The sequence below is a fragment of the Homo sapiens genome, chromosome 13 (assembly GCF_000001405.40).
Source record: "Homo sapiens chromosome 13, GRCh38.p14 Primary Assembly".
Lineage (NCBI taxonomy): Eukaryota > Metazoa > Chordata > Mammalia > Primates > Hominidae > Homo > Homo sapiens.
In genome coordinates, this window is record NC_000013.11 from 67263534 (window position 1) to 67290274 (window position 26741).

The 26741-nt window shown below is 37.6% G+C and overlaps 1 long non-coding RNA gene and 1 pseudogene across 1 annotated transcript in view; both read right to left on the minus strand.

The window, feature by feature from the left end:
• Positions 1–26741, minus strand: part of LOC105370246 (uncharacterized) — a 69539-nt gene that overhangs the window by 6940 nt on the left and 35858 nt on the right. The window lies entirely within an intron of this gene.
• RPSAP53 (ribosomal protein SA pseudogene 53) lies at positions 3222–4247 on the minus strand (annotated as a pseudogene).

Below are 26741 nucleotides of genomic sequence, written 5' to 3' on the forward strand. Positions count from 1 at the left end.
GTTTAAGCAAAAGAAAACGACAAGAATTGATCATCTTCTCCCACCCTTTAGCTTTTCAACTTATTTTCTCTGGACATGCTTCCCTCAGCCTCCCCCCCCCTAGAACTATTGATGCTCTAGGACTGATTCCTTGACTGACAGTGTTACTGATGAACACTTTAGCCTTCTTGGCTCACACCTGCTCCTACATTAAAACCTCATGAATGAACATGTAGGAATCCGTTTGCTCCCAGGTCAGTTTTCTACTTCTCTCACAGTGGTAACTTTGTAATCAGAACTCGTGGTGTCTTAGAATTCTAGTTTCACTCCAATATCAGTCTTGAGTCTGTTCTCTGGCTGAAGCTTTGTTCTACCCCACAATGCTATAATGTTGAGCTCTGCCTTCCATGGCTACGTGAACTCTGGATACTGAGCTTGCTCATAGAAAACATGTTGTTAACATTGTCTAATATTAGATGAACCTTAAAGTATGTGGCCTCCATTTCTACTGTACCTTAATATACTTCTGCAACTAGTCTTTACAAATATGTTTTTTCATGTTTTCCATGATCTAGATAACAAGTTTTATACAGCCTTCAGTCCAAGAGAACAATTATGCCACCAATCTGAGCTTCCAGTAAGACACCGATGGCTGTACCATGTATCTTCCATCAGCCTCACAATCGCTCTGCTTGCATCCTATCTAGCACTGCATAATTCTCAAAAAGCTAACCTAATTCTAGGTTCAAAGCAATTCTATCATGCCTAAATAGAATTAAAAGTGTGTCCAGATACTCTATCTTATTTCATTGACTCTGAAAACTATTGTAGGTATGGTACTGGGTATAGAAAAACAAAATGCATGTATAACACTATGTAGCATGTATATATGTGTGTGTGTGTGCATGTGTATATATAATATATATGATAAATATATATGATATATAATATACTATATATTATGATACATAATATATATACACACACATATATATAGCTTTTAAATATACAAACACAAAAACTAGGTATAGTTTAATTAATAGTGTCAGTCTTATCTATTATGCCTTCATGGACTATGTTATTTCTATTTAGTAGCAAAGACTCAGGACACTAAGGATGGCATCTAGGCTACCCTGTGTCAAGTAGCACTCAAATGTGATATGATGGTAATAATTGATAACATAGGTATCCAATACATACAATGGGCAATTACGTTTACATGAAGAAAAACTGATAATTTATTAGTTTAGAATAAAAAGGTGGATATGATTGTTTGAGCAAAACTCATTTGCCTGATATCACTTCCCAAAGAAATTATTAACTTTCTCTATGCTATTTCTCAGAGTTATCCTTAACTATGTTGAAAAATTCAGCTAAGTACAGAGCGCAAATCTCTTATCTTTTTAAAGCCTTTTCATGCTCATACACCACAAAAAGCAGAGGTCTTTTTATTACATAGTATCCTCAGTTTCATGGAGAAAAACAAATACTAAAGAGTCATGACAGCATTAATAAAATATTTGTTTTGAGATATCAATATTTTGATTATAAGTATTCTTAGTTTGCTAAGAACAACCACATGCAATGTCAGTCATGAGCCTTAGAGTTCATTAAACCACGAATGTCCTAAATAATGTGTATCTGCTAGTAGTGTTGTCCAGGTTTGTCATTTATTATTAAGATACAAGATATTATTTTCAGTAGCATTTGGTTTGTTCTTTTCATGAAAGCATGAGAGTTGTTTTACTTACATTTAAAAAAAAAAAGCATACAAGGGCAATATTCAATTATTTTATGTATCAACTAATGTATGGCAGCTATGAAATCCAGTTAATAAAAATGTTTTCTTTTTGTTTTTCTGCCCACTTTATGTGTTTAGTAATGTTTTCAATTATATGTATTGAATAATGATGAATTGATGTGTAATATACTCTAAAATTAACACAGCATAATTTTTTTAATTGATTCCCAAGTATTCGAATCTGCTCTTACCTATGTTCCATGTATTTCTAATTTTATGAAATTGAGCATAAATAATTCACCCATGTCACCATTGTCTTCTCTGTCTACCTTTTTACCTGAACCTTCTTTTCCATCTTTTTGCTTATTCTTTTTAAAAAATTTTCACAAACCTTTGTTTATGTCATATATTTATGTAATCATGACCATTTTAAGAAAAATATGTAAATCAATATAGAAAATAATTTGCATTTCTATAAACTAACAACAGATTGTCCAAAGAGGAAATTAAGAAAGCAATCTTATTTACAATAGCATCAAAAAAGAATAAAATACTTAGGAATAAACTTAAGAAGGTGAAAGACTTGTACACCAAGAACTATATAACACTGAAACAAATTAAAGGAGACATAAATAAATGGAGAGATATCCTGTGTTCATGGATTGGAAAAATGATTATTGTTAAACTATAATACTCAAAGCAATCTGCAGACTCAATGTGATCTTTATTAAAATTCCAGTGGCTTTTTTTTAACAGAAAATAATCTTAACATTCATATGGATAGATAAAAGACCCCAAATAGCCAAAGCAATTTTAAGCAAGAAGGACAAAACTAGAGGCATCATGCTTACTCCTTTCCAAACATATTACAAAGCTCCAGTAATCAAAACATTATGATATGAGCATAAAAACAGACATATAGGCAAATGGAACAGAAAAGAGAGCCCAGAAAAACTCATGCATAAATAGTTAACTGATCTTCAACAAGGTAGCCAAAAATATAAACTGGGAAAAGGATAGCTTTTTCAACAAGTGGCATTGGAAAAACTGGATATCCACATGCAAAAATAAAATGAAATTGGACCCTTATGCCACACACAAAGAATAACTCAACATGGATTAAAGATTTATGCATAAGACTTGAAACTGTAAAACTCCTAGAATTAAAAGTTAGAAAAAAAGCTTCTTGACCCTGGCCTTGGCAATGATTTTTCAGATTCAACACCAAAAGCAAAGTCAACAAAAGTGGGATTTCAAACAAATATCTTCTGTACAGCAAAGAAAGCATTCAACACAATAAAAACACAACCTATGAAATGGCAGAAAATATTTGCAAACCGTGTCTGATAAGAGGTTAATATTTGCGTGTATAAGGAATCCCTATGACTCAATAACAAATAACCCAATTAAAAAATGGGTGAAGGAACTAAACAAATATTTCTCCAAGGAAGACACGCAAATGACCAATAGGTATTTGTAAAGGTGCTCAACATTTCTTTTTTTTTTGAAACTGTTGTTTATTTTCCATCAACCTTATTTATTTCCATGTTGCTTAAGAGCCTGTGCAAGAACAACAGCTTAAGACCTTTCAGTGGTTGCTCCTACCCATTCAGTGGCCTGAGCAGTGGGAGCTGCAGAGCGGTCTTCCGTGGCAGGCTGAGCACTCCAATCTTCAGTAGGCACAGAGGTCACCTGCACGCTTTCAGACCAGTCTGCAATCTCAGGCTAAGTAGCAGTGAACTCAGGAGCTGGAGCAGTACATTCACCCTGAAATTCCTCCTCAGTCACAGCCTTTTCAGCAACAGCCTGCTCTTCTTTTTCAATCTCTTCAGGATCTCTGTAGAAGTAGAGATCAGGCATGACCTCCATGGGTGTTCATGGGAAATGGTGCCACACATGTGCAGAATTTCCCGAGCCAGCATCCACCACATTAAACCCACTGAGTGAGCTCCCTTGTTGTTGCATGGGATGTCAATGTCCACATAGCGCAGGGGAGAATCTGTGTTACACAGAGCAATGGTAGGTAGGTTAACATAAGATGCCTCTGTGAGAGGCTGGCGGTCAGCCCTGGGGTCAGTAACCACAAGAAGCCATGGCTCCTGGAAGGCTGCCTGGATCTGGTTAGTGAAGCTTCCAGGAATGAAGTGGCCAGCAATTGGAGTTTGCTCCAGTGGCAGCAGCAAACTTCAGCATGGCCCTCTGGCCAGTATTCCTGGAGGATATGACACTGACATCTACAGGGTTTTCAATGGCAACAATGGCATGAGCTGCCAGCGGAAGCTTCTCCCAGGTCCTCTTCAGATTTATGATGTAGATGCCATCACTTTTCCTTTTATAGATGTACTGTTCCATCTGGAAGTCAAGATTGGTGCCACCTAAGTGGGTTCCTGCTGCAAGGAACGTAAGGACATCATCCTCCTTCATTTGCAGGACATCAAGGGCTCCAGACATTGTGATAGTTTCCCTTTAAGTTACGATAGGAATCCAGAACAACACTGTATGGACCCTTCTGTAGGTAGCGCGGAAAGGCAGTACTCGACACTTCTAATCATCAGGGAAATGCAAATTAAAAGTATAGAGCTATATCACATTATACTTGTTAGGATGGCTATTATCAAAACAAAATAAAGCTACAAAAGAAAACAAGCATTTGTGAAAATATGAGAAAAGGGGAACTCTTGTATATTGTTGGTGGGAACATATGTTGATGCAGCCACTAGGGAAAGCAGTAGGAGAATCTTAAAAAAAATAAAAACAGAACTACTACATGATTCAGCAATCCCACTCTTTGGTATATATCCAGAGGATTTAAAATCAGAATTTTGAAGAGATATCTGCACTCCCATACTCACTGCAGCATTATTCACAATAGTGAGGACACAGAAGCAAGCTTAATGTCCATCTGTAGATGAACAGACAAAGAAAATGTGGCATATACATACGATGGAATATGATTCAACCTTAAGAAAAGAGAAAATCATGTCATTTGTGATGACATCAGTGATCCTGAAGTATTTTATGCTAAGTGAAATTAGCCAGCACAGAAGGAAAGATACTATATGATACTACTTATGATCCTGAAATGGTGAGACTCATGGAAGTAGAGAGTATAATGTTAGGGACGTGGAGAAGGGAGAAAGAGGAAGGTATTAGGCAAAGGACATATAGTGTTACACAAGATGAATAATTCCTAGAGATCCACTGTACAGCATAGCGACTATAGTTAACAATACTGTATTGTGTACTTAAAAATTTGCTAAGGAGGTAGACTTAGATTGAATGTTCTTATTGCATACACAATGGTAATAAGTAAGAGGGCAGAAGGAAGCTTTTAGAGGTGATGGAGAGGTATATGGCATAGATTGTGTTGACAGTTTCATGGGTATGTACTTATCTCAAAACTCACCAAATTACACGTATTAAATATGTGCAGCATTTTGTATATGAATTATACTTCAATAAAGTGGTCAAAAAAAGAAAGAAAAATACACAAATGAGTCACACAGAGCTTTTAATTCAGTAAGAGTAAAAAAACACATATATTTTTATTTTATTTTATTTTTTGAGACAGAGTCTTCTTGCTCTGTCACCCAGGCTGGAGTGCAATGGAGCGACCTCGGCTCACTGCAACCTCCACCTCCCGGGTTCAAGTGATTCTCCTGCCTCAGCCTCCCAAGTGGCTGGGATTACAGGCACTTGCCACCAAGCCTGGCTAATGTTTGTATTTTTAGTAGAGATGGGATTTCACTGTGTTGGCCAGGCTAGTCTGGAACTCCTGACCTCAGGTGATCCGCCCACCTCGGCCTCCCAAAGTGCTGGGATTACAGACATGAGCCATTGTGCCTGGTCAAAAAGACACTTACATTTTAAAGTTCAATTACAAATCAATTGACAAATATAAAAATATTATGTTCTTTTTCTATAACTGACAACACAGCTGAAATGATAATATAAGAGAGTAGGTATGAGTCTATTTATTATATATGTACATCTTTTCTTAAAAATATAGGCTGACAGAAGATTTCACATAGTCGAAAAACTAGAAAGTACCCTGAGGGTACACAGTAATCTAAATCAAAGAAAGCTGACAAAGACAAGATAAACAAGATAATAACAGGGTCAAAACATTCCTGTTGCCACATCTAATGAAACAAACAAGCAAAGAAATAAAAAGAAAAGCAGCAGAAACAAACAAACAAGCAAATAAAAAATGCTAACTTTAATCAAACTAGGAAAGGGTAAAAACTTATATCAGGTAGTTGGAAAATCATTGACCACAGCAAGAAAACCATTGATTAAATATGTGAATGTTACTCTACTCCTCCAAAAGCACATCGGTGTGTAAGAAATTGGTGAGTGGAGTAGAAATTACTGGCCGTATGGCTGGGCATGGTGGCTCACGCCTGTAATCCCAGCACTTTGGGAGGCCCAGGTGGGCGGATCACCTGAGGTCAGGAGTTCAAGACCAGCCAGGCCAACATAGTGAAAGCTTGTCTCTACTAAAAATACAAAAATCAGCTGGTCATGGTGGCAGGCACCTGTAATACCAGCTACTCGGGAGGCTGAGACAGGAGAATCGCTTGAACCTGGGAGGCAGAGGTTACAGTGAGCTGAGATTGCACCACTGTCCTCCAGCCTGGACAACAAAGGGCGAAACTTTGTCTCAAAAAAAAAAAAAAAAAAAAAAAAAAATACTGCCTGTCCCCATTATACATTCTTTCTTTCTTTTTCTTAGTATTAGAGATTCCAATTTTGGCTTGGAACACAAACACATAGGATAAAAGATTACATTTTCAAGTCTTTTTGCAAGTAGGTATTGGAAATGATTTAGTTTTGACCAATGTGCTGTGGAATGAATTGTTGAGTGTGATTGTAGGTAGGTGTCCTTGAAGGAAGGGTGCATAATCTTCCTTCCCCTGTCCTCATTTCTGCTGGCTGGTGGATGCAGTGGCTGAAGCTGGAGTGCTCTTGAATCACAACGTGGAATGTGGATACCAAAAGGAGGATTCAAGTTTAAAAAAGATTGGATCCCTCATGATCCTTGAGCTGCCATATAATCCCATACTACACAAAGGATATAGCAAAAATTTAAGCTTCTGTCATGTTTTAGCTTCCATTATTTGGATTCTTTCACAGCTGAAAATAATCCCATTCTTGATGTAAAAGGATATCAATCAGTGAAACATTCCTATCTTCCTATTTTAATCCTTTCATTCAATTGGGTGTACCAATTTAGTAAAGCTCCTAAGTGGAAGGTTGTTCTTTCCTTTCCTCCCTATCCAGGGCCAGAGAGAGACAATGGGTTATGTAAATGCTTCAGCTCTACAGACTCACATTTATCCTCCAGTGGGTTTTGCCAAAACTGTGGACTAGGTGGATTCAGGGTCACCTTGAACTGCTTTCTCCAACATGTCTGCTGGTGACAACATATTCATCTTGAACACCACAATTTCACATCTCTCAATTAGCTTAGAAATAAGCGGGAGAGAATAATTTATTGGTGGTCTCAGTCCCCCAATAAAAGTTAAGTGAAAACAACAACAACCACAACAAAACTCTTCCAGCTCAAAATTTAGAAGAAAGGGAATGTGATGTGCAGAGAGAAAGCAGCTCAGAGACAACAAGGCATGTAACTGTTGTCTAGGAACCTTCTGCACCCCCATGTGTCAGTAGAAAACTTAGGACCTGCTACTGGAAGGAAAGCATAGGAGATCTCAGGGAATATATCATCATCATATCATTATGATACTTACTGTCAGAGGAAAGTAATAAGACAAGAGATGCTGGCAGTTATGAGTGTAGCAGAGAAAAACAGACAGTCTGAAAAATGGTAGCCTCTTTGAGCCTAAGCCTTCTCGTGGATAATGAAGATTATATTATCCTCACTTCTCTTATTTGGTGGATGTCGGGTCAGATGAAAAAGGTTGAAAAATGTACAGCTCTCTAAAGCGCTAAACCTATTACAGTATTTTCATTTTGCTCTTTCATCCTCTTTTCTCTTGGTTTGGGATATTTCTATTTTTGGAAAAGTTCTCACCCATTTGGGTATCCAAATTTTTTGCATTCTTTACATTAACTCTTTCTGTAATTCCTTTCTCATTTTAATCCTAGGTTCTGGGAAATAGGGTGGTTATTTAGAATATTGTATAATCAAGAAAGTGACATTTTAGGGTCCACATAGCTCTCAAGCTGCCATCATTTCCTTGTTTATATCTGATGGCTTTTTTTCAGTATCAGAATTTCTAATTACCAGAATCAACTTGTCATTAAAATAGCTTTCTCTCTGGATGGTCTGTTTCCCATTGTCTCTCCTAAATCTTCCTTGGACTTATTTATTTTCCCATTAACAGATTACTATCAATATACATCTGTTTTATTTCCTTTTATCAGCTTGATTTCTTGCACCTCACTGTTTTCAGACAGTCATTGTCATCTTTTCAGGTCATTTCAACATTTCCTTTCTGTTTTTTTTTTTTCTTGGATGATATAGTTCTTGTAACATTGATATCCTTGGGAAAAAAATGTCAAGTTGGATTTACACAAAAAAGTGGGGGGAGAGGTAAGAAGTAGTCTTGACACATAAGGTGGGTTACAGAACCATAAATGGTATCTTAAGTCAAAATGATATAAATCAAATCTGATTTTCCTACAGAAATAATGGTAAAATATTTCTGACAGAGAGGCACAGCACTGAATTTTTAAAAGAAATGCCCATATATTTTATATTTAAACTAGTATGAATAATGTTTTGAAATCTGAATGCTAAATTCTTTCAAATGTATTAGCAGAACAAGCTTACCAATCATATAATTTTACTAAATATATTACGTGGTATTGACTTAGTAAGTATCACATTCTGCCATAGTTAAATCTTAATTCCAGACATAGTTTAAAAAAATAAAGAGGAAAGAAATACTTTTACTAGGTGAAAGGCTTCCGTAATGTTATTTTTCTTTTGGTATGTAATTATAATGGACATGTTTGAGGAGACTTTATTTTTCCTGGAGCCTGCTATAAGATACCTGTGAAGAACTAAAGGAACACTGAGGCTTTAAAACAGCGTGAATCTTTTGATAAGCAAATCTAAATATAGATTTGTATGAGGTCATTTGTGTGGCTCTATGTGCTGATGAATTGATGATCTGTGTGTAATTGACTGAGGTTCATCAATGAAAAACCCAAGAACCAGCCTACTCACTTTTCCCTGGGGACAAATGTGCAGAGAAAATTTGAAATAGGTTTCAAATGAAAATAGTTCTACTGAGTTTTACCTTCACAAAACAATGTTATTCTCTTAGATTATGAAAAAATTGAACTTCAAGTTTTCGATAAAAGCCTTTGTGAAAGAAAGAATAAAATAGACCATCCTCTTACACATGCATGTTCCTTGACACATGGTAGGTGCTCAGTAGTTATTTATTGAATAAGCAAAAATTAACTAATGACATTTGGATAACAAAACAACCAACTGGAATTTAAAATAAATGATTGCTTTTATAGATCCCTAAACAAGAATGTGAAATGGCAGCTGACTACATTCAACCCCTTATTCCATCTCAATTTATTCAAGCCCGTCTTTGTGTATTGAGCCATCGCACCAGAGAACTAGCACTAATCAAATACCCCAACTGCAGATTTACTCACAGTTTACACCTGTGAGATTGGATGCAACATAAATATTCTGCTAAGCTTTCTCTTAAATCTGCCGGCAAATACCTTACCGGAGTTATGGTAATATAAAATTTTCTACCTTCATCATATTTATAGTAATGAGTGGTTTAATTGACTTCCCTACAGCAGAACTCTCTTCCTTCTGAATTAAAGTAAGAGTAAAGATGGGGATATTACACTCTATTAATAGTTTAAGATGTAATAAATGGCTCAACCCAAAATAGCTGACTCAGAGACAGACAAAGATATTTTAATTTCTCAACAATTCATATGCAAGGAATGATTGCCCAAGTACAGAATTAGGGAACTGTAGGTTCTGCATGAATCACTTGAAGGCCCAATTCAGAAACTCTGAGAGAGGAATCTGCATTCTTTAACAAAATTTTCTGGTGCTTTTTGTACAATCCAAATGTTGTCAACCATTGTCTTACAATTTCTCTTACTGATTTAAAAAAAATTTCTTAGTTAGGATGGCGTGTTAAGTGTTTTGTCCTAGAAATTTTTTCCACATCAATAACTGACTAGAGACCTACGTGTAATATTAATAAAAACAGTACCTGTAGCATTTGTACTGATTATAGTATCTTTAAATATTTTTAGGAAAGAGGTAATGTGATTAATATTTGTAGAGGAAAATACAAATGGCTATAATATGTGTCAGTAGGAGCTAAAAATTCACCAGCATTAATAACTCCTCTAGTGAGCTCTCAGTATGCACTAAAGCAGTATGCATGCATTCTTCCTATTGCCATGTTAGTAAATATTTACAATAGCACCACATGATAGCTATTAGTATCTCCGTGTTAACAGAGAGACTGAGGGTCAGAGAAGCAAGGTGAGTGATCTGAAATTACATCAATCAGGTCCTTCTTTTGTAGAGTTTGCATTTCAAATTTTGAGAAACTAATACTCTAAGAGAGAACGGAAGAGGTAGGGGAGAGACAGAAGAGCCTACCCACAACACAGAGAGCGTCCAAGTCTGAGGCTCCCCGGAGGTCCAGAAAACTCACTTTCCAGGAGCTGAATTTCCTCTTACTCCTCCAGGTGTACATTTTGAGTGCTTGTGCGTCTGCCCACCCACCCACTCTCTCTTCCTTTCCTCAGCTCCTGATTGGAGCCGAGTTTTTTGCTAGGGCCTTATCCCTAAAGGGAAGGTTCTGTTTCAGCACACCTGGGACAGAGGCTGGGGTGACATAGTTAGCAGACCCTCCCCAGGTGTGGTGAAACAGGCTTGCTGACACCTCAAACTAATCCCTCGCAGCCAGCTCACAAGCTACTTGGCCTACGTAAGTTTCTTTAGTATCCAGTATCCTTCTTTATTTTATTTCTACCATTTTGCCTCAAGATTGTGCCCTGTCTACACCCTCTAGTGCTCAGCTTCTCTCAGGTAAAATTTTGATTTTTATCTTTCGTACATTATTGAGTATTTTGGATTTTTTTTCATCTCTTCGTGATAGTAGCATTTCAAGCCTTAAATTTTGGAATGGTCTTTTGCTAACAACTTTCAAAATGTAGGACAGCATGAGGAGAAAATGCCTGACTCACTGGCCCATAGCAGACATTTCATACATCATTGTTGAATGAATGAAATAACAAATATATAATGTTTTACATACAAAGCCCATATTTTCATATGGTTGGTTGGTTTGTTCTCTGATCTTTCCCCTTTCTCCCTCTTGGTGTCTTATTTTTGTGTTAAAGATGCAGCTTTCTGTCCATCAACAGATGAATGTATAAAGAAAATCTGGTATACATACACAATGGAATACTATTCAGCCATAAAAAAGAATGAAATCCTTTCATTCATGGCCACATGGATGATCCCAGAGGACATTATGTTAAGTGAAATAAGTAAGTCACAGAAAGATAAAAGCTACATATTTTCACTCATATGTGTGAGCTAAAAAAGTTGAGCTCATAGAAGTAGAGAGTAGAATAGTGATTTCCAGAGGCTGGGAAGGGTAGGGGAGAGGAGGAATAGGAAGAGGTTAGTTACACAACACAAAATCACAGCTTAATAGGAGAAATAAGTTCTAGAGTTCTGTAGTACTATAGTGTGACTATAGTTCACAGTAATTTATTGTATATTTTCAAGTAGCTGGAAGAGAAGATTTTGAATGTTCCTAACACAAATGATAAAAGTTTGAAGGGATGGATGTCCCAATTACCTTGATTTGATAATTATACATCGTAACATGTATTGAAACATTACACTATACCCCATAAATGTGTACAATTATTACATGTCACTTAAAAATAAAAGTTTTAAGAAAGATGTAACTTTTCCTTAATCTCCTTAGATATACCAATTTTATATTTTTAATACCCTCTTTTAAATTACAGATTTCTCTAGAAATCAGCTTTTGTTTTGATCTTGGTTGTTACCTTTACCACCACTAGTTTTCTAAAAATACCTATCTGGTAATCTCTGATTATCTGTGTGTTTTAATAATTAAGCACTGAGAAGGTAGTATGGGCGGCTTCTTCTTCTGATGTATATATGAATGATTTCTCACCTTCCCTGACTGGGAAGTTTGCAGAGACCTCAGTGTGGAGGGGAACGTTAGAGATCACTGGAGTTCTTCACTTTAGGGTGAACAGATGGGCTATCAGATAAGGATTCTCAAATCCCGAGAACAGAGGGGGTTTTACTCTGAGGCTGCAACACTCTATTAAAAACCTGTGCTTTCATTTTGTTAGTATTTCAGCTTCTTTAGAGAAGAACTCCTTATCTTTTGGCCAGAAATTGAGCTCTGTGTGCAGGTGCATGCGTGTGTGTATAGAGTGGTGTGATGGTGGCATACATTGTGCACAGCTGTTTCTTTTAGAAACCTTCAGTTAATCCTCTGGTGTTTCAGCTCTGCTTCTTACTTGGGCCCTCCATACTAGGTGCTGACTTACAGCTCAGTGCCTCCCTGGAGATTTGAAGGATGTATTAGCTCCCATTGCTGCTGTAGATCCCTCGTAGAGTACTTCTGCAGTTCGATTTTTGAATTAGTTTTTAATTCCAGATTTATTAAGCAGTGCTGTTAACTTTTTAAGTGGTTAGTTGTTTTATTTTGTTTGGCTGTTTGTTGTTAATTTCTAGTTTTATTGCAATGGGTTCAGAGAATGTGACATTTATGACTTTGGACGATGGATTTTGAGGTTTATTTTGTTTTGATTTGATTTTTGGTACCAAGGATGCTAGTAACATAGTGAATTTTTTGGCTACTCATCACTGAACTCTTCTATGCTTGAAGAATTCTCCCAATGACTCCTAGGGTGGGGCAGAAACCTCTGATAATAGAAGCTGGTGGATAAAGCTCACTCCAGCACATTCCCTGAGGAAGAATGCAGTATCCGACTGGGCTCAGTGAAGGTTACTAATAGGTTCCTCAAGGCTTTGATCTAATTTCTGTGCCTCACTCAACAATCTCTACACTCTTTCATCTTCTGCCTATGGAGTAGTGAGAATGTCTTTCGGTCTAAATACAGTTATTAATGAGCAGGACATAGGAAAGGAGTTAACATAGAGACTATTCTGATCTGGAGATTTCACTGCTTACCAAAGGTTTTTCTTCTTCTTTAATTATTGGGGTAGCCACACTCCAGGATTTAATTGGGGAACTGCTTCCCTGACATTTTGTAGTATAGTCTCCATCTTGGACTGTCCATTGGAGTCACCAAGTGTAATAATGTAAGTCACAACCAATTTTGGTCCTGGTGAAGTTTCCAGACTTCTTTAATACCTACCACCTACAAAATTCACAAACAGGTATGTATGCACACACACACATAGACACACACGCACACACAGAGACACACACACACACACACAAAGATACACGCACAGGCATATGCTTACATGTTATATTGACTCCTCTCAAATTCAAACTAGTGATGTTTTTGGAAAAGAGGAAAAGTCCACTTGCTTCTGTTTGTTCTCTTTTGATACGTGCAGTCAAGTGATGTGTAAATCTAATTGGCTTTTTCCTTAATCCAATTATATTTGGTTCCTCTACTACAAAAATTAATTCAAATTTTGTTCTATTGATGGCACTGATTCTTTTTTTTCTAACTCTGCTGTAAAATTTGTTACATTGACTTGATAATTTCTATTATACCTAAAGGGAGCAAATGTAAATACTTGGGCTCAATTAAGTATCTTGAAATCAATAGTTTATTGTCTTTGTTTCCTTTTCAAAAAGTAAAGCATCCATAATGCTTCCACTAACATGAAGTTTTTGACTTAGTATCTATATTAGTTCATTCTCACACTGCTATGAAGATACCCAAGATGGTAATTTAAAAGTAAAGAGATTTAATTGACTCACAGTTCAGCATGGCTGGGGAGGCCTCAGGAAGCTTACAATCATAGCAGAAGGCAAAGGGGAAGCAAGTAACTTCTTCACAAGGCAGGAGGAAGGAGAGGTGTGAGCAAAGGGGGAAGAACCCTTATAAAACCATCAGATCTTGTGAGAACTCACTCACTATCACCGGAACAGCATGGGGGAAACAGCCCCCATGATTCAATTACCTCCACCTGTCTCCCCCTTGACATGTAGGGATTATGGGGTTAATGGGGATTACGATTTAAGATGAGATTTGGTTGGGGACACAAAGCCTAGCCATATCAGGCTTTGGTCATATGGTCTCTTTTTCAATGTAGTGCACTTACAGTAAGTCACCTCATTGGACTAGGCAGTGCATGCAATTTCTTACAAGCACTCTGACACAAAGTAATAATAGGAAAGCCAATTAAGCAACAGTATAATAAATATAACAAACATCTGGCATTGAGGGATAAGTTTCTTGAGCACACTTAGAATCCCTTAGTAAACTCACCTATTGAATAGCCATTTACCTAATGACTAACCACTGACATATGTGTTTCTCCATTAGCCTCACAAGGAAAACTTTTGGTGATGTGCTGTGTTTCCATTCTTACCTCTTAGCTTTCTAGTTTTACTGAGCTGAGTTTGTCCCCAAACATAACTTTCTGTGTAAATATTTTTACTTCCACGTGGCCAAACATTATACACAAATTTTATTCTGCCTATTTGGTCATGAAATCAAATAAGAAGCCATTTAAACTCCAAGTCAATCAAGTTATTATTCTCCATTTCTAGAGATATGAATCTTATTCCTTCGCTTGTTGTTCAGGAGACATGCATTAAACAACAAAAATCTTCCAAGCTCCTGGAATGTTGGTGAAAACTTCAAACTCATGAACCTAAATGTCTAACTAGCATTTACAGCAAAACCAATTTTTTTTCTATCTACATTTTCCTCTTTATAATGCGTTATAAAAGATAAGATGTACGTCTCATTTTTGTATGGCCAAAAAAGTAGAAAAACTGAGCATCTAACAGGCCTTAAGGCAGGGAGCAGGACTTATATCCCTGTCTGAATAGAATAGTTAGCCAGGAGACAGAAGCTTTCTCAAGTTACATCACGGATATCAGCCAAGTTTGCAAGGAGGTAGACAGTGTGTCAGCATAATTTTGACCAGAAGCCAAAGGGATGAACTTGGGGCCAAACAGGAAAGAATTCTTCACTACCCTAGAGACTGAAAGAAAGACCCAAGACAATAACTTGAGCCAGACATTAGACATGGGAATGAATAACTAGACCAGCTACAACCTTCGAGGTTGAGAGGTCTACAGACTAAAGGAGAGTAATGATGAGTGTGTTGTGAAAGTCTGCATTTTTAAAATTCCACTGCTTATTATTTTGAGGAGAAATGCACCAAACATAACTCTACTTGTAGTAAAGGAAGGGTTCAATAACGATGCTTTTTTATTTCATTGAGAAATTTAAAGCAATTCGGCATGAGAGTTCTGCTTTCACAACTACAAATAGAAGGCAGGGAAATTCTGGGCCAAAGACAGCAGGTTCCACTGAGGCCCTTAACCTCAAGCCAAAAAGCCTGGACCCATGGCCCAAAGTAAAAACTTACATTCCTATTTTCCCACTCAAATGTTGCCTTTTCTGAAACCACCCATGGCCCACTCGCTTCCCATCCTGTGCCTACAAAAAGCCCAGAATGCAGCTGGCAGAGAGGAGAAGCGGCTGGATGTTGGAAACTATGGCTGACATCAAAGAGAAGAGGCTTGACTTCAGAGGGACAGCTTGACAGCGTAGTTTCAGAGAAGAGTCCATCCCTGCCCGGACCCCAGGGGAAGATTACCTTCCTGCTCTGACCCCTTTTCAGCTCCCCTTCCTGATGAGAGCCACTTTCAATGACAATAAAATCCAACACATTTACCATGTTCAACTCATTAGTGCAACCTCATTCCTCCTGAATGCCAGACAAGAACTCAGGTGCCAAGAGTGCAGGTGAAAAAGACTGTCACACTGACCCTTCACTGAGCTGCTAACACTTAAGCCATCCACGATAGCAGAGATAAAAGAGCACTCTAATACTCCTTCTGGGGCTTCAGGGGTTGCATGCACCCCTGTAGACACTGCCACGGGGCCCACATGGAATTTTGCTCCTGACAGTGCCCAAAAGCACTTGCCGCAACTCCTGCACCTGCTCACCTGTGCTCCCCCTCCAATGAGGGATGGAGCACAGGGGGAACGAGTCAGTGGAGTCTGCCCCCCTGCTGGCACAGAAGTGGCCAACTGGTTCTAGTGCCCATGCACTTCCAATTCCTGCCCATGAAGGGGTCAGGGAAATATCCTGCTTCACAATCACCTCACCTGTTTTCTTTCAGTTTCAGAGACAAGTGCTTATAGGGTTGAAGGCCGGTGTCTCCATTTGTGCTGAGTCTCCTCTTCTCCTGCTTCAGGGGTCTTATTTCACCATTTCTTACTCCTTTCCTGTGAATCTTAAACCACTCTCTTTTATCTATTCCTTTAACATCTAATCATATTAAGTAAACATACTCTGTCTTTAAAATAGTGTTTAATTCTATATTCTCTCTCTAGCTAGTACCCTGTCTCTCCTTTCCTTTATAGCCAAGCCTCGTGAAAATTAATCATTTCTGTTTTAATTTCTTTGTGATTTAATCCAGTTAACATTTCAGCCCATTGCAATATGATATAGCTCCTAATACTCTGAGAATATTGCCCTTTTTGAGGTCATTATAAAGTTTTTTTGTGATTAAATTCAAAAAAGTACTTCTAGTCCTCATTTTAATCAAATCCACTAAGCATTTGACTGCTTTACTTCTGTATACATTCATACATGTCACTCTCTGAAGAGAACTTCACTAGGCATTTTATCTTCTCCAAAGGACTCTACTTAGTTTGTACAATTGGGCAACAGAAGAGTGATGGGGAAGAAGTCGAAGAGAGTGGTAAAAAACTGGAATTTCAGAAATACAGCTTTCATCGGGATAATTTCCTCTTCTTATTGGTAGGTTCAGATTATTGCAGAGAGCAAAAATCACATAATGAATAAGATACTGCTGTATCTCATTTCAACCTCGGAAGCAGTTTAAACACTTCCAAAGGGGAGCAGCATATCAACACAGAAACGGCTTATTCATTAAATTTATAGAAGTATAACATCACACTTGTAGAGCGAACCTTCCATTACCTGTTTTGTGAGAACACTGCAGTTTCTATTTGTTCTCCCAGCATTTAACTTTGGCTAGAACTCTATCAAATTAAGAATGCATACTGACACTGTCAAATGTACAATCACTAAAGATGTAAAAATGATGAAGGATTAAGAATATATGTTTTAAAATTTACAAGTAAATTTTAAAAAGAGAAAAAATTCAGATAATATTAGGACAATTGGAAGTATCCATTATTTACGGAATAGCTTATGAGAGGGTGAAAGAAAATTTGAGGCTGGAGAATGAGGACTCACAGAAAGTGTTAAACTTTTGAATACCACATTCTGGATGTTTTATTTTCTCATATTAGACATGTTTTTGAAAATCAAGATTATGTATATTTTCAAAATAGTAGCTTCAAAAGATCTTCCAAAAAGGTATTCATATTCATCTCTACCTTTTATTGCTTCTCTTTCCTTGTGAATATATATAAATATCCACAAGCAAAAAAACTCTTTGAAATGGGCATAGATCATTACACTGGTTTGGCATATTTGGTGGAAAAGAGAGAATAGGAAACTTCTCTAACATGAGATGCAAATCAGAAAATATATGTGATTTAGTGACAGATTAGCATCATTTATTTTTATATTTGCTGCATTTTGTTATTTTTAATAGAATTTCATTTGCCTGGATTTGACTCCAAAATGTTAAGTTATTTAACAGATATCATTAGGTTGCTAAGCATTAACACTTAATTATCATATTAATAAACAGTTATTACTTTCTTCTACACTGTGCCTTGCCTCTGCCACATTAGTATGCATGCACTGCTCTTAGGCAACTTAATTGTCCTTAAAGGAAATCATTACAATTTAAATGAAATTGGGAGCTACTGGTTAGGGAAGGCTGTAGGGCATGCACAATACATACTAAACAAGGAACTGTAATTTCCCCAAATCACATTTTTTTTTTCAGTAATTTCACATCACAGCACTATATCTATTTGGTTAAGGGGAAAACAGTTTATTTTTTGCCTTGCAATTTTATAAGGGCACCATTTAACCAAGGACATGCAAGACTTTGAAATGGTAGCAAAGGAACTTGAGTAAATCAAATAATTTCTTTGCAGCTGGTAAACTGTTGTCAGCATTTGCAGCAGTCAATGAAGCAATAAAGTATAGCATGGTGGGCAGCCATCAACCACCACGTCTGCCTCTAGGACTGAGGGCAGCAGGAGGCCAGAGACTTTATGGAGACAGCTGTTGCCTCTCCCCATATGTGATTTTGTTCATTCACTTCACAGCAATGCACTTCACACGCTGCTGCAAAAATGGGGACTAGGGCCATTCTCCTGTGTCCTGTTACCCCTTTCTCACAGTCAAGAACTCATCTTTTTTTCATCCTCAATCATAAAATGACTTAGTTTAGTGATTTGAGTTAAATACTCTGCTATTGAGATGCAAAGAGTTTAAATATCCCTGGACTCTTATTTGTGATAGATAATTAATCAATGTCTTACACAACCTTAAACAGCTCTTCATTTTTCGTGAGTGACTCATGATAAAAACAAGGATTTAATTCACGTGGGTATTTAGCATTTTCAGATTAATTAGTTAGCAACTGAGAGTTAACCTTATTAATGCCCAGCTTTGTGGGAATATATGAGGACTAACAGTAAAATAAAGGAAAATTCTGCTTTTAAAAATATATAAAGAATAAAATAGGAATTCAAAATATTGAAACTAAACCACAGGGCTGATAGGTATTGAGAAGCCTATAGTAGGCACCTATCAAGCCCATGGCAAAGGTTACCTCTCATTGACACAAGTTGAATATTTCTATTTTACACGCAAGTTAAATGTCTCTATTTCACACATTAGAAAATCGAGAGCAGACAGTCTCATTAACTTCCTCCTTTGTCTTGTAGTTATTAAATGGCTGTATAAGGTCTGTCTGCCTCTGGTGTACATATTCATACTTGAATGCTTCACTGCAAACCCCAAAAGAACCTTTATTATTACTATGGACCGCCCTGTTACATCTAGAACTTTCTACTAATATAGGAAGAGAAAACTGATTTATTAATCATTGCAAAATAATTTACAGAGACTCCCTTCTCTTTGATATTATGAGTTACTGTATTTTTGTTTTTTTCATCAGTAAGAATGCTTTCTGAATAAAGTCTATATTATAACAACCCTTCATAGAGTTTTGTCTTCCTTTTTAATATGAAAAAATAACCAAATTAGTAGGCAGAAGTGAGGAATGATTACTGGTGAAATATGATGCATGACATAAAGCCCTAGAGTCCTTATGGTGGCCTACTGAATTTCCAGATTGGTGATAAGAGATATTCCCTTAATTTTCTGCTTTCCAGGAATGTGAACTTGGGTATGATGTTTAGAATCTCAGAGCTTCAGGTTTCTTACTTGTCAAGTAAGAGGAATAACTTATGCCATATTATTCTACAAATATTAAAGGAACAAAATACACATTCACTTTTTTTTTTTATTTAACTACAAAGCAATGTGTTTTTTTTTTTTTTTTTTTTTTTGAAAACAGTGTCTCCCTCTGTCACCAAGCTGTAGTGCAGTGGTGTGATCATGGCTCACTGCAGCCTAGACCTCCTGGGCTCCAACCATCTTCCCACCTTAGCCTCCCAAGAAGTTGAGACTACAGGTGCAAGCCACTGTGCCCAGCTAATTTTTTTTTTTATTATTTTTGGTAGAGATGAGGTCTTGCTATGTTGCCCAGGCTGGTCTTAAACTCCTGAGCTCAAGTGATCCTCCCACCTGAGCTTCCCAAAGTGCTAGTATTATAGGCGTGAGCCACAGTGCCCAGCAGCAATTTCTTTTTATATTAATGGATTTGTCATTCTGTAGTAGGAAAAGAAGGGGCTTTGGACTCAGACAGACCTAGTTTGGACTAAAAAGACTAATTGTCTGATAATGAATGTTATTTCATCTTAGTTTCAGTTACTGTCTCTCTAAACTGGAGAAAATATGTATTACAGTTGTAGTAAAAAATGAAATCAAATGTATGTTAACTGCTAGTGTGCAAATTATCTAAAGAAAATGATATGAATTGCTACTGTTAATCCAGGTATGATTGGAGTAATCTAAGAATAAAACCCAAAATATACTATGAAAGTAAAATTTGTCCACTGTTCAAAATTTATATTTACATTGTGTAATTCATGTTATCAGACCCAATTTAAGTGCCCACCTAGATTCACTTATTCTCATTTTCCTTCTCTGTTGTCTGATCAATAGAAGACTATGACCACAGCAACTTCCTCTGACTCATCACTAAACACCTAAACAATGCTGGCTGTTTCATCTCTCCTGGGCTAAGGACTAGGCAGTTTCCGTCATTTCCAATGTAGTGGGAGTTGCAGTAGCTCCAAAGTCCAAGCTTAGATATGATGCTGAATAAAGCTGAGCCTGTTTAGTAACAAGCCTTATATTGACTTTCTCTTCATCCTTGCAGCAAGTTCATTTTTCCCTCTCTCTTATCACCTGGAATTTCATTCACCAACTAAGAATTGGCATGCAAGCTTTATCTAAAGCCACATTTTCAAGGCGACTTGAGTTGAAACAACAGACCAGGACAGACCCTGAAAAGTCAACCTGAAGGATGGGGTTTTACAGGAGGGTTCATGCTGAATGAAATAGGGCCATGTTTCTTATGCTAAGTGGGGTGCTGATAGTTCCTTGTATTCAATGACATCATAGTCCTTTTTTCATTTGAAGTGTAACTCTAAGGCAAGTACAGTTGATCAGTATAAGGCCAATTAGAGTTAAACACTTAATAATGTAGTATAACTTTTCTATGACTTTGAAGACTTTCTATAAAGCTAATTACCAATTTAAGATAGGCTGTGAAAGCCAAGGAGTCTCTACTGTAGAATTTAAGGAGACTTTTATCTTCTGTAGTTATAAGATAGATTCTGTTGGAAATCAGACCAAAGATCTGATTATAGAATTGAATCACAAAATAGACTAATGTGTTGCCTTAACAGGTGTCTTATATCCAACTGAGGGTTAGGACAGAGAAATATTGACAGAAGACGGTAAAAAATCCAGGTACCTGACAGATTAGTGAAGGTTTGGGGAGTTCAGAGATCTGAGGAATTCCAGAATATGCTGCATTAAATTAAAGTTGTCGCTCATAGCATTATGTACCACAAGGAGCCATTGTGCTTGATATGGTTTTTTGCATTATGGATGCACCATGCACATCACTTGAAAATAAAACCCCAAACCACTGATCAGGAGATTCTCAATGCTACCTGTTTTGAATGAGGTTCAAAGATCCAGTATTCAGTGCAGGCTGCCCTGCTTTTATAACCATTTCATTCATAGACCCATTTATTCTAGAGGAATCTGTAGCAGATAATGATGCTGAGTTAACTCTCTGGTTATGAGATAGTCATATGAGGTCCTGTGGCCACACACACCAAGGCAGATAATTACCCTACATTTGTAAAATATAGTTTGTTTATGTATGTCAGTAAGTGCTTTTATCTGAGCAACTAAGGAGCACCAAGAGCTTGTATAACCAAAACTTTCCACCATAAACTAAATTATTTTGAATTCAGCTACTCATAAGGTTAGGCAGGTGGTATAGCAATTGAATATTCGATAGAAGTGACACATTTAGAAGTAGGCTGAAGCAGATCCAGAAAGCACAAGTAAATTAAATGAACAGATGGCCCAGACTCCCTTGTCACTTACTTCTGTTTATTCGATGCTTATCCTCAAACTCACAACTATGTCCTTACGGAGGGTAACTTTTGACCAATCAACAAAGGGAGAAAAGACAGAGACCTGGCTCCCAGATAAAACACCACAATATGTTGGCATTATCAGCAAAAGAACTGCTGCCACATTGCATCCCCATTCATAGCTTGCTCTGAAAGACAATAATGAAATCAAGTCATATCAGAGGGTGAATCTGTAAGCGAACTACTCATTCATCTACTTTGCACAGAAGGATATGTCATCTAATATATGGATAAACATGAAGTTCTGTGTACTGGATAATGGCTGAGAAGAAATAAGAAGGGAGGACTGGGGATAAGGAGGTCTAAAGAAGAGTTATATGGATAAACTTATGGGGGAGGGTACCAAGCATGCAGATTTCTTTGTCTCATATTAATGCCAACCAGTGACCTTCTATCACATAGCAGGCTCTCAAAAACTAGGTGGACAAGATGACCTGTACAATGCAAATCAGCAAGCCTCTTTCCTCAGCTATTCCATTACCTGTCAAATGGGCCTATGAACAGAATCACTATGGTGTCATAGCTGGAAGCTCTGTACTTGTCAAAAATTATCGGTTGCCTATTGTGAAGGCTGAAATAGCTACTGCAGAATGTCCAACCACTGAAGTAAAGATAAGTGCTGGCTCTTGAACATGTCACTGTTTCCCAGTGGAAACATACAGTTACAAGTAGATTATATTACACACCTTCAGCTTTGGAAGGAACAAAGCTGCCTTTCACTGAAATTGATACACACTCAGTTTGCCTCCATACTTCTGCCAGCCTCATCTTTTGATGACTGTTAGAATGCCTGATCCAATAACATATCCTACACAGTACTACCTCTAATTAAAGGAGCCATATAATGGGAATAATTTTTGTTAATGGGTGTATGACCATGAGATTTTCTGATCTTACCATGCTCTCCATTTATCCAAAATGACTGCTTCCACAGAATTATGCAACGGCCTATTGAAGTCTGCTAAGGTATCAACTTGGAATCAACATCTCGAGGTGCTTGGACTACTCTTTTGGTCATCTATTGCTACACAATGAATCATCCTTAAACTAAGTAGCTTAAATGAATTACTATTATCTCTCACCCTTCTGTTGATTGATTCAGTTTCAGCTGGAATGTCCTTGTTGGAAGTTTTTAGTTGACTGTGGCCAGAAGAATGGGGCTGAGACTGAGGCTGAATAGGGAGGACAACTCACCCACATGACTGAGAGTTAATGCTAGAAACTCAGCTGGGGCTAACTGAGGTATCCGAACATGACCTCTCCATGTAGCTTGGGCTTGACGGCCAGATTCTTAACAGGAACATTCTAAAAACAGGGATTCTAAGAGACAAGTTGGAGCTGTAAAACTTCTTAGGATCTGATCCATAATATCATTATTGACATTATTTTTGGTCAAGGTACTCACTGAGGTCAGCTCAGATTAAGGAGGTAGAGTCTAATGACATATAAGACTGGAAAAGTTACATTGCACAAGAGCATATGAGATGAAAGATTTTACGTCCATTTTGGAAAACACAATTAATTCAAATGCATCATCCTCCTGGAGGTAGTATATGAGCTGATCCAATGGCTGATATATGGGTTCAAGAAACAAATGGGAGAATTAGGACAGACTCTCTCATCATCAATTATCTCATTTTTAATGGAGATCACTTCCACCAGAGGAAAGTGTAAGATTCACGGAAATGGAAGTTGCTAATATCACTAGGCCATATTGGGATCCTCATTCTGGAGAGTTTGCAGGCAAAGAAAGAATTACTGGACTGCCTGGTATTGATAACTTTGATGACCATGAGAAAATGGGAGTGCTTCTGCACAATGGTTGCAGGAAGGAATATGTATTAAATGAAAGAATTTTAATGTGACATTTCTTGGTGTTTCTATGCAACAAATTGAGCCTGACATGAGAAGGGAAACTACACTGAGAACCTTTGCATATATAGATCTTGGTCACTTCCTTACTCCATCAAGCAAGGTGAAATAATTAGTCAAAGAGGGTAGGGGTGGTGAATCTAAATTGGTTGGCAGAGGAATATCAATCATATATATCTCAGTAGCATCTGTGGTAACAGGAACTGTAATATGGTTTGCTAACCCTCAGCAATACTTTTTTAGAAGTCTTCAACTGGCTTAGACTTTAAATGGTTAAATTTGTGCCTCCATTCTTGGTAAATAAGTGGTGCAATCTTATTTTCTTATTAGAGTACATTAGATATTATTGGAGAATGTGAGCAGATCTGACTGACATATGGAATGGACTATATGATATATAATTGTTGTGTTCCTCCAACAGATTTGCTGAGTCCTACCTGTCTCCTGAGCTGGGATGCTTCCTAAATGGAGATCCATGGCTGCCACAATTGTCAAACCCCTAGCACCTCTAGCTACATCAGACAGACTTCCTTGAAGTGATAACCTGGCCACTACTGCATCTCCTATGGAGAGAGCAGAGCGTCTATCCTAGCCAAGCCCCATGTTAGTGAAACCATAGACATTCTCAGTTCTCACCACTTTCAAGCTCATATAATGCACCTCTTTGCTGAATGATGGTGGTGGGGCATTTGACTTCCCTAAGTAACTGTCCATCGGAATTAATACAACTTAGCACTGCAGGATAGTTAATACTTCATGTGATGAACTTCAAGCACTGAAAGATAGGAGATAGAGAGGAGTTAGCAGATAAATAATTGCTCTTCCTTCACTCAGTGTTCCATATCAGAGTGTGGTCGTTTCATATGCCTCTTCAAAGTGTCACGTATAAATAAGCAACTGACTATTACTTATTGCAAATCTTGCGAGCTTGGAAATGAACCTTTTGCTCCCCAAATTCTATTGATCAAAGTAAGTCCCAGAGCCAGGTCAGATTCAAAATCAGTAGAAATAGACTTCATCATGCGATAGAACAAGTTGCATGTGTATACGAAGGAAAGAAGTTCTTGGCATCCAACTCTAGATAATTTATCACAACACTCCTTTTTTTTTTTTTTTTCAAATTTGCCAATTCTTTGTCTTTCAGATCTAATGTCTAGAAATTTTTAACATTTTAATTTCTGGGGTTTATTTTTTAAATTTTACTGAATTTTTAATACTTGATATGAAATTTAAATGTTTAATAATGGGTTTGTATTTTTAGAAAGTTCCTGTTTTGGAATATGGCATTATTGTTTCTCCAACTTAATATTTGATTTTTTCTTTTACAGATGATGCAGTAGACATTCTTCAAAATGAACCATGATGGTCCTCATCTCCTAGTATCCTCACCCTTGTGGCCCCTCCCACAATGAATAAGGTTTGGCCATGGTGGCCAATAGTGACAGTAAGACTTCTGAGGCTAGATCAGAAAAGACATTGTCGTTTCTTTGTTGGGTTTTCTTGAATCACGTGCTCTGGGGACACCAGTTATTGAGGTGTCCCCAGAAAAGAGGACACTCAAGTAGCCCTGGAAAAGGTCCTACATGGGGAAGAACTGAGGCCTCTGGTTAAAAATCAGTACCAGCCCATCAAGTATGTAAAAGAGTTGCCTTGGAAGCTGGTCCTCCGCCCCAGTCAATCTTTCATATGGCTGAAGTTTCAGACATCTTGACTGTTACACCGTGAGAAATTCTAAGCCTGAACCACATTACTAAATTGCTCCCAAATTCCTGACCCATAAAAAACCATGGGAGTAATAGAGGTTCATTGTTATTATTATTATTTTGAGACACAGTCTTCCCCTGTTGCCCAGGCTGGAGTGCATTGGCACAATCTCAGCTCACTGCAACCTCTACCTCCTGAGTTCAAGTGATGCTCCTGCCTCACCCTCCCAAGTAGCTGGGATTACAGGCTCCTGCCACCACACCCGGCTAATTTTTTGTATCTTTAGTAGAGACGGCATTTCACCATGTTAGCCAGGCTGGTCTCGAACTCCTGACCTCGTGATCCACCTGCCTCAGCCTCCCAAAGTACTGGGATTACAGGCTTGAGCCACTGTGTCCGGCTGGTTCATTGTTATTTTAAACCACTGTTTGGGATAGTCTGTTAATCAGCACTAGATAACTAATATAGATACTATTAATTTCAGATTAGGAATAATAGTTTGCTTTCTGAATGTTTTTCTGATATTTTATGAGTTCTGTTTTTGTATTTTTGCTTGTTTTATTATCCCCTGTTTATGGTATTCTTTCCCTTGATGGCCAGTTTATATTTAGGATTGAGACACTAAAAAGTTAACTAAAAGCTTAGTACTGTTCCTATGTTTCCCTACATTGTTTTAAAACTTTTCCCTTTTTCTGAGAGAAACTTACCTATCAATATTTATAGATTTACTCTTTGATTTACTATTTTCCTCAGAGAGGAGTCAAATCTTCAAATTTTCTGTATGGGAAGACTGCTGTAAAGCTGGGGAAAGAGGCTTGGGTTCTACAGTTTTAAGTTGGAAAATGTTAGTTAATATGTGTTGTTTTTTTGGTGGTGCTTCACAACCTTGCCTTCAGCTAAGCCATGGTTTCTCTTATGCAGAGTATCTCTGATGCAGTCTCTTAAGAGAATAAACCTCCTGTCTTCTGCTGGCATGGAGAAAGTGATCTAGAGATCCTATTAACTTCAGTTTTATCCCTCACCTGCCTTTCATAGATGGCTAGTAACGACAAAACTCTAAAACGAGTAGCAACTCTTCCTAGGGATTTTCCAGAGACCCAGGCTCCTTGTATTTTATTGTTCTCTCCTCATCTATAGTATTGCATTCATCTACCTGTGAAGGCTGGAATGCCAGCGCTGGTCCAAGTTGTAGCCAGAAGGATGTGGAGAAAAAACATGAGTGGAGAGCAAATAGCTTTGTTCTTAAAGGACATGTTTTTTTGTTGTTGTTGTTTTGTTTTTGTTTGTTTGTTTGTTTGTTTTGAGATGGAGTCTCGCTCTGTCACCCAGGCTGGCTCTGTCACCAAGGCTGGAGTGCAATGGCATGATCTCGGTTCACTGCAATCCCCACCTCCTGGATTCAAGCTATTCTCCTGCCTCGACCTCTTAAGTACCTGGGATTACAGGCACTCACCACCACACCCAGCTAATTTGTGTATTTTTTTTAGTAGAG